General features: G+C 45.9%; 1 non-coding gene across 1 annotated transcript, besides 3 other annotated features; it reads right to left on the minus strand.

Annotated features, from left to right (window-relative positions):
• Positions 1–3,968: 3,968 nt before the first annotated feature.
• On the minus strand, positions 3,969–4,040 carry TRC-GCA11-1 (tRNA-Cys (anticodon GCA) 11-1). Its single transcript has one exon. It is a non-coding gene; the product is annotated as a tRNA-Cys (tRNA).
• Positions 4,163–4,382: an enhancer, noted in NCBI's record as "active region_26814". NCBI's record gives its function as "activates an Ori minimal core promoter by ATAC-STARR-seq in GM12878 lymphoblastoid cells {active_cell/tissue: GM12878}" and the evidence as "EXISTENCE:reporter gene assay evidence [ECO:0000049][PMID:35858748]".
• Positions 10,619–11,118: an enhancer, noted in NCBI's record as "H3K4me1 hESC enhancer chr7:149118879-149119378 (GRCh37/hg19 assembly coordinates)". NCBI's record gives its function as "activates a minimal SCP1, AML or CMV promoter by ChIP-STARR-seq in naive H9 embryonic stem cells {active_cell/tissue: H9 hESC(naive)}" and the evidence as "EXISTENCE:reporter gene assay evidence [ECO:0000049][PMID:30033119]".
• Positions 11,250–11,499: a silencer, noted in NCBI's record as "silent region_18755". NCBI's record gives its function as "represses an Ori minimal core promoter by ATAC-STARR-seq in GM12878 lymphoblastoid cells {active_cell/tissue: GM12878}" and the evidence as "EXISTENCE:reporter gene assay evidence [ECO:0000049][PMID:35858748]".

Genomic DNA, 15,265 nt, shown 5'->3' on the forward strand with positions numbered 1-15,265 from the left:
CCAGGGATGAAGCCTCCTTAATCACAGTGGATTAGCTTTTTGATGTGCTGCTGGATTCTGTTTGCAAGTATTTTGTTGAGGATTTTTGCATTGATGTTCATCAAGAATATTGGCCTGAAGTTTTATTTTTTTGTTGTGTCTCTGCCAGGTTTTGGTATCAAGATGATGCTGGCCTCATAGAATGAGCTAGGGAGAAGCCCCTATGCCTCAATTTTCTGGAATAGTTTCTGTAGGAATGATACCAACTCTTATTTGTACATCTGGTAGAATTCAGCTGCAAATCCATCAGGTCCTGGGCTTTTTTGGGTTGGTAGGCTATTATTACTGATTCAATTTTGGAGCTCCTTATTGTTCTGTTCAGGGAATTAATTTCTTCCTGGCTCAGTCTTAGGAGAGTGTAAATGTCTGGGAATTTTTCTATCTCTTATAGCTAACCAGGGAGGTGAAACATCTCTACAATGAGAATTACAAAACACTGATCAAAAGAGATCAGAGAACACAGAAACAAATAGAAAAACATCTCATGCTCATGGATAGGAAGAATCAATATTATTAATATGGCTATACTGCCCAAAGCAATTTATAGATTCAATGCTATTCCTACTAAACTACCAATGACGTTCTTCAGAAAACTAGAAAAAATACTTTAAAATTTATATGGAACCAAAAAAGGGACTGAATTGCCAAGGCAACCCTAAGCAAAAAGAACAAAGCTAGAGGAATCACATTACCCAACTTCAAACTATACTATAAGGCTACAGTGACAAAAACAGCACGGTACTGTTACTAAAACAGGCACATAGATCAGTGGAACAGAACAGAGAGCCCAGAAATAAGGCTGCACATCTATGACCATGTGATCTTTGACAAAGTTGACAAAAACAAACAAGGGGGAAAGGACTCTCTATTAAATAAATGGTGCTGGGATAATTGGCTAGCAATATGCAGAAGATTGAAGCTGGATCCCTTCCTTACACCATATACAAAAATCAACTCAAAATGGATTAAGGACTTAAATGTAAAAAAAAAAAAAAAAAAAAAAAAAGACTTAAATGTAAAACTGAAAATTATAAAAACCCTGAAAGACAACCTAGGAAATACCATCTTGGACATGGGAATGGGCAAAGATTTCATGAGAAAGACACCAAAAGCCATCACAACAAAAGCAAAAATTGGCAAATGGGATCTAATTAAACTTAAGAGCTTCTGCACAGCAAACCATCAACAGGGTAAACAGACAACCTACAGAACGGGATAAAATATTTGCAAACTATGCATCCATCAAAGGTCTATAAGGAACTTAAACAAATTTACAAGAGAAAAACAAACAACCCCATTAAAAAGCGGGCAAAGGTCAGTCGGGCACGGTGGCTCAAGCCTGTAATCCCAGCACTTTGGGAGGCCGAGGCGGGCAGATCACGAGGTCAGGAGATCAAGACCATCCTGGCTAACACGTGAAACCCCGTCTCTACTAAAAATACAAAAAAAATTAGCCAGGTGTGGCGGCGTGCGCCTGTAGTCCCAGCTGCTGGGGAGGCTGAGGCAGCAGAATGGCGTGAACCCAGGAGGCGGAGCTTGCAGTGAGCCGAGATGGCGCCACTGCACTCCAGCCTGGGTGACAGAGCAAGACTCCGTCTCAAAAAAAAAAAAAAAAAAAAAAAAGTGGGCAAAGGGCATGAACAGACATGAACACATGGACAGGTCTCAAAAGAAGACATACATGCGGCCAACAAGTATGGGCAAAAAAGCTGAATATCATCACTGATCATTAGAAGAATGCAAATCAAAACCACAATGAGATACCATCTCACACCAGTCAGAATGGCTATTACTAAAAAGTCAAAAAATAACACATGCTGGTGAGGTTGCGGAGAAAAGGAACCCTTATATACTGTTGGTGGGAGTGTAAATTAGTTCAACCATTGTGGAAAGCAGTATGGCGATTCCTCAAAGAGCTAAAAGCAGAACTACCATTTGATCCCACTACCGAGAATATAGCTAGAGCAATGTATAGCATTCTACCATAAAGACACATGCACACAAATGTTTATTGCAGCACTGCTCACAATAGCAAACACATGGAAACAACCTAAATGCCCATCAATGATAGAGTGGATAAAGAAAATGTGGTACATATGCACCATGGAATATTATGCAGTCAAAAAAAGAATGAGATCATGTCTTTTGCAGGAACATGGATGGAGCTGGAGGCCATCATCCTTAGCAAGGTAATGCAGGAATGGAAAACCAAATCCGCATGTTCTCACTTATAGGTAGGAGCTAAATGATAAGAACTTATGAAGACAAAGAAGGAAACAACAGACACTGCGGTCTACCTGGGGGGGAGGGGGGAGGGGGGAGGAGGGGGAGGGGGGGAGGAGGGGGAGGAGCAGAAAAGATCGCTATTGAATACTGAGCTTAATACCTGGGTGATGTGATAATATGTACAACAAACCCCTGTGAAATGTGTTTATGTATGTAACAAACCTTCACATGTACCCCCAACCCTAAAATAAAAAAAAATTTTAAACCGTCCTTGAAAAAGAAAAAGAAATCGCCTGTAGTTTCAGGTACTCTGGAGACTCAGGTGGGAGGACTGTTTGAACCCAGGTGGTTGAGGCTGCAGCGAGCCATGATTGTGCTGTTGCACTCCTGCCTGGGCAACAGAGCAAGACCCTGTCTCAAAAGAAAAAAAAAAAAAAGACTATGACTCCAAGGTTTTGATTTCTGCTCCAGAATCTCAATCTCACACCTCAGGAGGAGCATGGACCACCCTACTTTGACTTTCTCCTCCTTCCAGTGCACCCTCCCCACCAGCCAATGGAGATAAACCTTTCTGAGGAAAACATTATCCTGGGGAATAATGAGTTGGTAAGCTGGTGATTAATGAAGTTGAGAAACTACAAAGCCATTATTAAAAAGGTGAACATCAGTCTGTTATTGAGGACAATCCCCTTTCAGGTCTGTAGTCCTGGCATCTAATTAATGGAACCAAAGCTTTTGGAAGTTCACTTTATAAAAGATGAAACAGTTGCCATTATTGTGAATACTGGTGTACTCCGTTTAAAAGTGCAATATTGAAGGTAGAACTCTTTGTGCAGCAACGATACAAGGGTGCGATTTGGGGAGCACAGCACTGTGATAAAAACAATGTTCTTGGCAAGGAAGTCTTTAGTAAATCCCAAGAAGATTCAGCAGGATGTCGTTGGAACCGGATGTGGTGTACACACAACTCACAAGTCCATCCAAACAGGCTGGGATAGTCTACCAATTCAGATAAAGTGTGAGGTGTTTTTTTAGGTGGTATATATGCAAATAAACTAAATTATTTTTTTGTAACAGCTGATTTAGTATAATAAAATATTTAGTTATGGTAGTATGTATGCACTTTCTGCAAGTGTTTTTGAAAATAGCTGTTGAGCACTTTCTGCGAGTGTTTTTGAAAATAGCTATTGAATAGAATCGCTATTCAATATTTGGTCTACCAAAATACTAAAACAAATCATACTCAGAATTATACTCCTCTCCAAATCATCCTTACTTGAACAATATATGTGGCTGGGAACCTGACTGTGGCTCCAGGGGCGCAGGTGTGTGAGATGCGAGGTACTGCTGAAGCCCGGAAACCCGCGGGGCTTTTCTACACCTTTCCAGGAGCAGCCGCTGGAGATCCTGCCTCTCCAAGAGAACCTGGCTAACCCCCACACTTAGGTCAGAAGAAATGTGTGATGGGAAACCAGCCCTCTCTGGGAGTGTGAAGGTAAAGACGGTCCTATATTTCAGTTCCAGTGGGGCTGCAGGGTCTTTTGCTATCGGTGTGCTATGTATGCAGGTCTTGCTAGAGACTGAGAACCTCTAAAAGTCATTGCGCAGAGGGAACGCGGATTTACCCGGCATGGTCTTTGGAAATCAGTGTGCTGTGGAAGCAGGTCTTGCTAGAGCCAAGAAACCTCTAAAAGCCACTATTCAGGGGGCACCCGGATTTGAACCGGGGACCTCTTGATCTGCAGTCAAATGCTCTACCGCTAAGCTATACCCCCGTCACACGGGAGGAAAGCGTCACTCACGTCTTCGTAGTCAGCCGCACGCAAGCCGCGTACAGCACTGCAGGGTCCGCGCTTTGGGCGGCGCTTTTCTCCGGCGGCCAGTTCGGACCTTTGCGCTTTTACCGTCACACTCCAACGCACTTTCTTCCCCGAGTTTGGGAAGAAACCCCGGGGTGACAGCCCCGGCTCACGGCGTTTACTCCTTCGGCCGCCGTCACCTCGAACCTTTTCTTTATCCGTCCCTTTTGGGCTCTTTCCCTTTTTGCTCTCATCTTTATTCTCCACCTCTGTCCTCTTCCCAAGATCCTCTGACGTCACTCATGGCCCTTCCCCACACCAATTCTTCTCCCCGCAAACCACGAAGACCTTCTTAGGCCTTTATCTGATGCAAGCATTGTCTTTTTCAACTAACTGCTTATCTGCGATGAAAATGGAGGGCCCGGAGCAGTGAAGAAAAGGTAGGCCATTTATTTCCTAAAGCAAAATAGGAGATGGAGGCCAAGAAAACCAAAAAGTGACAGCAGCGGGAGAGAGCCTGCCCCACTACACATCAGCATCTGCCAGGACACAAGAATGGACTCGGTGCGGGGACAGAACACCTGGAACGCAGACCTGGGAGCACACCATAGTCCACGCACGAACTGAATGAAAGAGCGTCACTCACTTTTACAGAGCAGTTGTGTTCACAGCGACTCCGTAAGGCTGGCGCTATGACTGGTGTCCCAATTTTACAAATGAGAAAGCTGAGACACCAGGCGCTATGACTGGTGTCCCAATTTTACAAATGAGAAAAATGAGAAACGTTGAAAAAGCTGTCCAACGTCAAATGGTTGGTAAGTGGAAATGCAGACTTAAGTGGTCTGGCAACAGAGTCCATACACTCAACCACCGTGTTTTACACATCACAAATTCATAGGGGAAAGGAAGCGTCATTTACATATATTCTACTGGGAGACTTAGTTGGCCATTTGGGAAAATTAAAGTGGCAACTAAACTTCATATTATATACCAAAATAAAGTCCAAGTGGATTAAATTATTACATATAAAATATCAAATAAAAGCATAAGACAGTATAAATTGCATCTAACTGATTTCTGAAGGACTTTCTAATACACAATGGAACAAATCCCAACAGAAAATACCAATAGATTCGGCTATATAAACATTAAAGGTTCAGGTATGTAAACAAAATCAAAAGGTTAATACCAAGTTGGGAAAATATTTCTGTCATGTAGGACAGTCAAAATATTACAAATTAATATCCTTAATAAGTAAAGAGCCCACATGTAATAGCAAAGGCCATCAAAAGACAATTCACAAAAGGAAATAGTATAATAGTAGTTGATAGAAAAGTATAAGTGTTAGTAAGTCAAAATAAATCTTAGTAAAACCAAAGACATGCAAATGAAAACAACACCATTTAACATTTTTCCTGTATTGAAATGGACAAAAATTAAAGTAGCAATCCTCATACTGGCAAGGGTATGGTAAGTCCATACTATTTTAGGCCTGTAAACTGGTACAATTTTTTATTTTTATTTTTATTTTTTGAGATGGAGTCTTGCTCTATCGCCCAGGCTAGAGCGCAGTGTCGCAGTCTTGGCTTATTGCAACCTCCACCACCTGGGTTGCAGTGAGCTGAGATCCTCAGCCTCAGCCTCCCAAAGTAGCTGGGATTACAGGTGCCCGCCACCATGCCCGGCGAATTTTTGTATTTTAGTGGAGAAAGGGTTTCACCATGTTGGCCAGGCTGGTCTCCAACTCTTGACCTCAAGCAATCCACCTGTTTTGGCCTCCCAAAGTTCTGGGATTACAGGCCTGAGCCACCATGCCTGGGCTTGGTATAATCTCTCTCGAGAGGAAAGGCAGTATAAAATAAGAGATAAGTTCAAACAATTCCCTTTGACCTAGTAGTAATTCTGTTTCTATGAACCCAGCCCAGAAAAAGCGTGAAACATGAACAAATGTTGGCTCAAAGATATTTAAGTGCTCTTAAGTGTTATTTAAAATATTTAAGCAAATAGATGGCAGGGCGCAGTGGCTCATGCCTGTAATCCCAGCACTTTGGGAGGCCGAGGCGGCTAGATCACCTGAGGTCGGGAGTTTGACACCAGCCTGACCAATATGGTGAAACCCCCGTCTCTACTAAAAATACAAACATTAGCCGGCCTGTGGTGGTGCGTGCCTGTGATCCCAGCTACTCAGGAGGCTGAGGTGGGAGAATAGCTTGAACCCGGGAGGCAGAGGTTGCAGTGAGCCAAGATTGCACCACTGCACTCTAGCCTGGGCCACAGAGGAAGACCCTGTCTCAAAAAATAATAATAATAATAATAATAATAATAATTAAACAAATAGAAGCAGAAATGCCTAATATTAGAGAGGTGGTTAAGAAACTGGCATATCTACATGATAGAAAACTAGCTATTTAAAATGTTTGATATAATTCACAAGAAAATGTGAATTACATCTTAAGTCAGTGGTTCTCGATTCTGACTACCTTAGAATCACCTAGGGAGGTTTTAAAAGTACTAATGCAGGTACGAGGGGGCAGATCAGTTGAATCAGAATATCTAGAGTGATACCCAGACACTGATAGTTTGTGCTGTCAGGGGATTCCAGTGTGCAGCCACGGTTGGGAATCACGATGTTAAATGAGAGTGGGTATTATCTCAAAGGTAAAAATAAGTAGAATCAACCAAACAAAAAGGTAAAAAGAAATATTTTGAGATCCTAATATCTCCTAGCTCCATGGTGAGATTGTTAGTGACTATTTCTTCTTTATACTTTTTGGTATTTTCAGTAATTGTTTTATTTTCCTAAACCACTAAGAAATTATTTTTTAAGTTTAAGGGCCCCCAGAAGCACCTCAATTCAAATTGGAAGCTCTTAATCTATAGTTAAATGCCCTATTTAGGGCCATAGCCCCTTCTTGTGCCCTCCCTCCCATCCAGCCACTCCCAGGACTCAGTCAAACAAGCATCAGTGCGTGGAACTGGCACAGGTCCTCTCCGTGGCCTTCTAGGAAGCCACCTACCTGTCAGCTTCCTGGATCACCCACCTAAGGGCATCTCAGTTCGGTGAGGATGCCCTTCACGTGCACTGTTTGCTCCAGGGCACACATGTGAAGACTAAAGCATGAATATAGGGGTTATGGGTGATTTCAGAATGTTTTTCTTTATATTCCTCTATATTCTTCACATTTTCTGCAATAAAATGTATCACTTTGAAAATCAGAAAAACCCATAAATATTACAAATTTAAGCATATCTCTTCTAGTAATTACAAGCAATATCATTTCCTTTTGACATAATTAGTACGTAATTGCCTAGATAAGACAAAAAAGACTCCAAGGAATGCTAATTTGGGAAATAAGTGCATTATAATTTACACATAACGTACTCATTCAAGTGCCTTTTTTTTTTTTTTTTTTTTTAAAGAACCAAGGTCTTGCCCCGTTGCTCAGGAATGCAGTGGCGTGATCATGGCTCACTGTAACCTCAAACTCCTAGGCTCAAGCGACCCTCCCATCTCAGCCTCTCAAGTAGCTGGGACTACAGGCCTGCTGCACCACCACATCATCTGGATTTGTTGTTGTTGTTGTTGGAGACAGGGTCTCGCTCTGTTGACCAGGCTGGTCTTGAACTCCTGGGCTCAAGCAGTCCTCCTGCCTCAGTCTCCCAAAGTGCCAGGATTACAGGTGTGAGCCACCATGCCTGGCCTCATTTATGCTTCTATAGGAATAATTAATTCCATTTTGCACATGAGGACACAGCCTCAGAAAATTTCCAAGGAACTCAATTTCAAGACCTCTCTGTCCAAGTCCAGGGCTGTTTCCACAATACTATATTTTTTCCATCTTTTCTAGTAAAGGTTGGATAACTGGAAGAACAGAGAGCTGAACACTGGGATCTGAAAGAGTTACCACCTCATTCCCAGTCCTGCCCTCTCCATGTGAGGACGGGTGAATCTGAGATAGAAATAATGGCTCATGTGTGCTGAGTGTTTATGTTGGAGGCTCATATACACTATCCTACAGAATCCTCATAGCTGTCTGAGGCAGGTACAATTGTTATATCCTAGGAAATAGTTAAGACTGCTCCCATTTTATAGCTGAAGAAACAGATTCAGGGGGACTAAGTGACTCATTCAGTCATTTAACAAATACACTACGTTCCAGGGTCTAGTCTAGGCACTGAGGACTCAGCAGTGAACGAGGCCAAGAAACACAGCCCTGGCCCCATGGAGCTATATTCCCAGAGGTGCAGTGTGACAGACAAGCAAACTAATGCATGAATGAAAACATCACAGATATTGAAAACACTACAGGAAAATAAAGCATGGTATTCTGATGGAAGACAACAGGGATGGTCAGGAAACGATGATTGGAGCTGAAATCCGAATGATAAGAAGCCAGTGAGGAAAAATCTGGATGCATGTCCGGGCTCACACCTGCAATCCCAGCACTGTGGGAGGCTGAGGTGGGCAGATTGCTTGAGCACAGGAGTTCAAGACCATTCCTGGGCAACATAACGAAAACTCATTTGTACAAAAGATTTTTTAAAAAATTAGCCAGGCGTGGTGGCATGCACCTGTAGTCTCAGCTACTTGGGAAGCTGAGGCCAGAGGATCAGTTGAGCCTGGAGAGTCGAGGCTGCAGTGCCACTGCACTCCAGTCTAGGTGACAGAATGAGACCCTGTCTCAAAAAATAAGTAGATAAAAATAACTAAAATTCTGGATGCAGTGGATCCCAGGCCTTGGGTAGAGTGACCCACTTGGAAGTGGCTTGGCAGGATGAAGCAAGAATGAGGCCAGTGTGGGGCAGCAGAGGGGGCAGAGCAGGACAGTGATTTGAGGTGGAGGTGAGGTGGGGTCAGGCCACAGAGGGCCCTGTGAGCTGGGTCAGGAGGTGGCATTTATTTACTGTGCCATCCCAGGGAGAGTGGAGCCTGGATTTGGATCTCCCTCCCATGTGCAGGGGCCACATCTCTGAGCCCTTCCTCAGAGACTCTGTGCTGGGCTTGGCACAGGTCTTCATCACCTCGGGCCTGTCCTGTGGAGACAGGCTTCCCAGGTCAGTCTGTAAGCCTCCTCGGCCATGCAATTAAGGTTCTTGTTCATCCAGCCGACCTGGTTTCTGCCCCTGAGGAGCAGATTTAGGTAGAGGAGGCACACATGAACATCCACTGTCACTCGGTGTCACTTCAATGATAACTGTCTTAAGCTCTGTGAACCTAGAAAGGGGAAGGGGGAGAGTGGGCACCACAGTTACCCTAAGCTGGGGTGTTCCAGAGGCCTTTTCTGAGGGAGTGACATTTCCACAACACCGTGCAGGAGGAAGGAACGTTAGTTGGGAGATGAGCAGCCCAGGAAGTTGGGCGGCATGGGTGAAGCCTGAGGCAGTGGGGTGCCAAGAGCAGAGAGAAGGTCAGGGTGCTGGAGTCTGGGAGGCAGCCTGTGTGGACTGAGTAGGGTCTTCCCAAAGTTCATGTCCTTCCAAGAACCTCAGGAGGTGACCTTCTTTGGAAATAGGGTCATTGCCAATGTAATAGTTAATTAAGACCAGGTCATCCTGGCGCAGGGTGGGCACTCAGTGCAATATGACTGTTATCCTCATCAGAAGAGAGGAGACAAAGGGAGCAGGCCAAGTGCCCGCTGGCGCACTGCATCCAATGCTGAAGCCAGGAGAGAGGCATGGGACGGTGTCCCTCAGAGCCTCCAGTAAGAACCAAGCCAGACCACACATTGATCTTGGACCTCTGGCCTCCAGAACTGCAAGAATCCATTTCTGTTGTTTAAAGCCAACCAGTTTGTGGCACTTTGTTACAGCAACCCCGGACAGGGCCGAGAAGGCAGGCAGGGCCTAGTGGGTCCTGAAAGATTTTGGACCTTACCCTAAGAGCAATGGGGAACCTCCCAAGCAAGAGAGGACTATGATCAAATTTGCCTTTTCAAAAGATTCCCTGGCCGCCCAGTGCTCCCACAGCATTCAAATCCGTTAAGAGTGAGGCCCCACAATAGGACAGAGGCCCTGCCGCCTGCACATCACTCACACGGAGGCACACGTCACTCAAATACACCGGGTGCTTGCCAGCCTTCCCACCGGCCCACAGAGCGGGGCTTCCTTGCCTGCTCCCCACACAGAACTAGGGGAGACGGCCGACCTGCGGGAGGATCGTCTGGCCCTATGCCTCAAACGCCTTAGAAAACGCTCGTACCCTGGACCAGGCAGTTCCACTCCAGGAGGTTAGTCTTTGCATGGCATTTGTTTTATTAGGGGGCCACCGCAGCCTGGGCTAAAGAATTTAGTCTTCGGAAAAAACTAGGCAGACATTTGAAAATATATCAAGGAAAAAAAGTGCAGGCCGGGCGCTGTGGCTCACGCCTGTAATCCCAGCACTTTGGGAGGCCGAGGCGGGCGGATGACGAGGTCAGGAGATCGAGACCAGCCTGGCTAACACGGTGAAACCCCGTCTCTACTAAAAATATAAAAAATTAGCCAGGCGTGGTGGCGGGCGCCTGTAGTCCCAGCTACTCGAGAGGCTGAGGCAGGAGAACGGCGTGAACCCGGGAGGCAGAGTTTGCAGTGAGCCGAGATCCTGCCACCGCACTCCAGCTTGGGCGACAGAGCGAGACTCCGTCTCAAAAAAAAAAAAAAAAAAAAGTGCAGCCTATCATGAGAGAGCGCCTCCAGGTCCACCTCCGCATGGGACAAACACAGCGAGCGGCCAGGAGCTGGGCCTCAGCCTTGGTTTCCTCATCTGCACAACGAGAAAAGTGGGTAGAATGCAGGCTGCCCGGGAAGAAGCTTGAGCAACCCTAAAGCTCGGGGTCAATTCACGGAGTCCCCTCTCCTTCTGGGACCCAAGGCCCTCCGGGTCTTCTGTGCTGTTTTGTGCCGTGGGTTGAGCCTTCGAGGTGGGGTAGGTCTCATATTTCCTGTGCTCTCAGATTCCTGCGGCCGCACCTTTGTTTGCACTAACTGTGTTTGCACCAACTGTGTTTGCACGGGGATTTGCTGGGGCCTTGGCCGGCAGGCCAGTGTGTGCAAGAAAAGCAACCTGACAGCGGCTCCTGCTAACCAGGGCTGGTTCGGGGCTGCGGCCGGGCGGCTCCCGCACTGCGACTAAGGGCCAGCCGGCTGGCAGGCGGGGCTGGGGCTCGGATGTCGGGACTAGCGGGTCTCTGGCGCGAGGCGGCCGCCACCACCGAGAAGGCCGCGCGCATTCCTAGAGCGGCCGCCAGCGGCCAGGTGAGGGCGCCGCGGCCTCCGGGGCCTCCTCGCCTCTGGCCGGCAGGGGGCAGCGCGCGGCCCCGCGCGGCCCGACGTGGCGCTGGCCCGGGAGGCAGCCCGTGGGCCGCCGGCGCGCCCTGCCGGGCACCCAGCAGCGCGCTCCCGTTCTCATCAGACGGGAGAAAAAACGCCCAGGCAGAGGAACGTCTAAAAGTCAAGTCATCAAAATTAATGTAATCGAGAAAATGTGCATATTTAAAATATGGATAGAGACGCATAAATACATCTTTAAAATAAAAATATAATCGTTTGTGTTAAGTCCTTGCTCCATTGGCTCTCAGCTGCACTCACAGCACCAGTGAGACCGACACGGTTGTGCCCCATCCCACAGGCGCCAAATGGAGGGCGCAGGGTTTTAGGAGCTCGCGTAGGGCCTCTCGGGCGGCAGCAATGGAGCCGCGAGGCCGGCGGGGAGACCGAGGACGGGACCCGCTGAGCTCTGGGTGAGCTGGGGGGACTCGAGGGGACCTGGATGGGCCAGAGGCCTGGCTTGGGGAAGGGCCCCTTCCCGGTTCCCCAAGGTCCCGGTGTGCCGCTGCCGTAGGGAAGCAGGAAGGCACGGCCGCGCCAGGCGACCTGAACGAGAGGAAGCCCGGGGTCGCCGCCCGCGGGCGCGGCTGGTGTTCATACCCAGCCAGGAAGGGCGGGCGGGCCTCGGGTGCCACGCGGCGTGCCCGGCGCTTTCCCCGCAGTCCCGCTTGCTGCCCGTCCCTGGACTCCTTATCAGGCAGCTGGGTGACCTTGCTGCAAAGGGCAGGGCCGTGGAGCAGGATTTCTGCCGCACACCAGCCACCTGCAACGGTGGTAAGAGGATTTGGCAGTGATCCGGGTACTCTACCTAATATTGGGGCTGAAATATCAGAAGGAATGATAAAATCCATTTTTAAGTGATAGCGTTTAAAGGTGTTGGATCAGGTTTAATGAAGAAAATCATCTCCATCCCAGCTGGGCAGAGATTTGGGATTGTACCCGTGTTTCTTCCCGCACATTGTCACCTGTGGCTTGTTCATCCGTTCATTTCGCGTGCACTGAGGACCTCTGAGGACCTTGCGCCAGACTCTGGAGCAAGCGCGAAATGAACAAAAGCCGGCCCTGCCCTTGGGAAAAATCAAACACACAATGGCCGCTGAGTGCACGCTCCGAGCACGCGCCAAGCCCTGGAAAGCCCGGTAGAGGGGACCCTCCAACCTCCCGCAGTGATGCGTGTGTGGCCAGGGGTCTTGCTAGGCTGCACCTTGCACCTGAATCTCCCGTTGCCTTCACCGTGGAAGCGTTTGCTGTAAAAATAACATGGGGGTTGGGGCGGGGGAGACGTCTTTGTAGCTTTCTCACAGGGCTTAAGACATCTGTCCTGCTATCTTCCCCGGCCTTCCAGGGATTCTCAGTGGATGTTAGCTCTCTGGATTTCACTGGCAAGGTTATAGAGACTTACCATTTTCTGATATGAACATCTGCCAAGTAACGCATAGAGAATAGGAAAGCATGCATATCCCACAAGGAAAAAAAATAAAACTAAGAAACTGTTCTATCAAAGAATTAAGTAAGCATGGAGTGTGTCACTGGATAAATTAAACATACAGAGTTTGGATTGAGGCTAGGAAAGGTTGAAGCAAGAGAAAAGGAGCCCTGGTGACTTGCCCAGGGCAGAGGTTTTTGAAGTGAGCTTCCTCCTTGGAGACCCCTCAGCGCAGGGGGAGTTTGGGAAGACGGGGGCGCCAGAGCAGGTAGGCTTGGCTCCCTCTCCAGCCTCTTAAGGCACGAGTTATTTTACATATTTAGCTTCTGAAAATTGTTTTATTTAAACAAGGGATTCCGGAGGCTACAAACGAAAGCTTGAAAACACTGACAGATGAAGTGCAAAAAATTTGGCTGACCATTATAAATTTGATAAAGATTTCATGTCCTGAATCTGAAAGAGATTCTAAAATATATTACAGATTTAGTTCTACAGAGAAGGGATGAACTCTTCCAAGTAATTTCACAGGTGGAGATGGTTAGAAGTCCTCATACTGGGTGGTTAAAATTGATTTCTTCCATAGTTATGGAAAAGACTTGATACCTTCTCTTGGAGAAATAAGGGACTCATTCAATTGTAAGTTTTTATTGTTTAGAACATAGAAATTCCTTCTACAACCAGAAAAAAACGCTATTTTCATTTGGGGGCAAAGAATTTTAAATAAGATTCTGGAATTCTGTTATGTGATTACTACATACTAATAAGAGTTCATCTTTTTGGTAAAATGAACACCCAAGCATGTTTGTATGCAATTAACGTTTGTTTCAAGACTCTGAAGAGCTGGCAACAATTTGGGCAAGGAAAATGTGTCTATTTCTCTCAATTTGTCTACTGTATGAATTAAACACACCAGAGACTGGCTTAAATTGGTCTGAATATTGACTTGCTTTTTTAGCAGCACTCTGAAACATTTGAGGTTTTTTTTTTTTCCCAAACTTATTTCAGAATGCATCACTGGATAAATTGGCTTGGTAAGGCATTGATTAATTCAAGACACAGTAAGGAACCACTGGGTTAAAGTGGGAAAGAAATAATACAAATTTTAGTTGGACAGTCATTATTATTAAATTGTTCAGGGGGTAACTATGGGAACCAACTTAGTGTCTTTACTTTTTGACAAAATTAATGTGATTTATAGTGATGACTATCATCCAAATCGAAAAATATATACAGAATTTTTTTTAAGAGACAGATTCTCACTATGTTGCTCAGGGTGGTCTCAAACTCCTGGGCTCAAGCGATCCTCCTCCTTAGACCTCCCGAAGTGCTGGGATTACAGGTGTGAACCACCACACCTAGCAGAAATTTTTTTGTATACGCCAGACGCGGTGGTTCACACCTATAATCCCAGCACTTTGGGAGGCCTATGGAGGATTGCTTGAGTCCAGGAGTTTGGGACCAGCCTAGACAACGTAGTGAGATGAGACCATGTCTCTACTAAAAATAAGAAAATTAGGCTTGGTGGCTCATGCCTGTGGTCCCAGCTACTCAGGAGGCTGAGGCGGGAGGATCACCTGAATGTGGGAGGTCCAGGCTGTAGTGAGCCATGATGTCACCATCGTACTCCAGCCTGAGACAGAGCAAGACCCTGTCTCAAAAATAAATAAATAAATTTTTTTAATCTTAAATTTTAGAATTTGCATAATTTACCTGCAGCAAATTTGATCATGGGACCATGTAGTTCTTGGCTGGTACCTTCTGTGGAAAAATGGCAAGTTTCACCTTTCATACTTGTTTACTTTTCTTAATTGAGTTTAGCTTAAATCCAAGCTATTTCAATCCTTTGAGGGCATAATTTGATTATTTGTGTATCAGGTAAATGAAGAGCTGATTGCATTTAATTTTTAAAAAGATTTTATACTTATTAGACTATACTGATTTTAAGAAGAAACAGTCTGTTGTCCTGATAATCATTCTTTAAATAAAATTACCAGCAGGGATAGACATTTTCACTGATACATTTTGTCATTAAAATTCAACTTTCCATTACCTGAATTAATAGACAGCAGTGATGCTCCTGTCTTATAATACTTGAGTTATTTTGAGATATTATTTTACAAAGAGAAGCAGTGAGTTTCATTCATGCGGTAGTGGCGGGGAGGGAATGGTGAGAACTTAGAGGTAGCACTGAGCCGGCAGGATTAGAGTCAAGGGTGTATTTTGTGTTATTAGGGAGCAGGTATTTCTTCCTTATAATAATCTCCTTCATGCAACTACTCCTCTGACTGATAAACAAATGGCTTCTTAGGTCCCAACGTCAGAAATAAACAGAGAAAGGTGGCCTCTTGCCATAACAGTGCTCTCCCCAAAGTCCCTAAGGTATAGAGGACTCAGTCTAAAACGGGGGCTGGATTGGTGTTCTAACCACCAGTGTGCCCAGGAACACCTATTCTACCCTGGTCAGGTGAAC

Source organism: Homo sapiens, chromosome 7 (assembly GCF_000001405.40).
Source record: "Homo sapiens chromosome 7, GRCh38.p14 Primary Assembly".
NCBI lineage: Eukaryota > Metazoa > Chordata > Mammalia > Primates > Hominidae > Homo > Homo sapiens.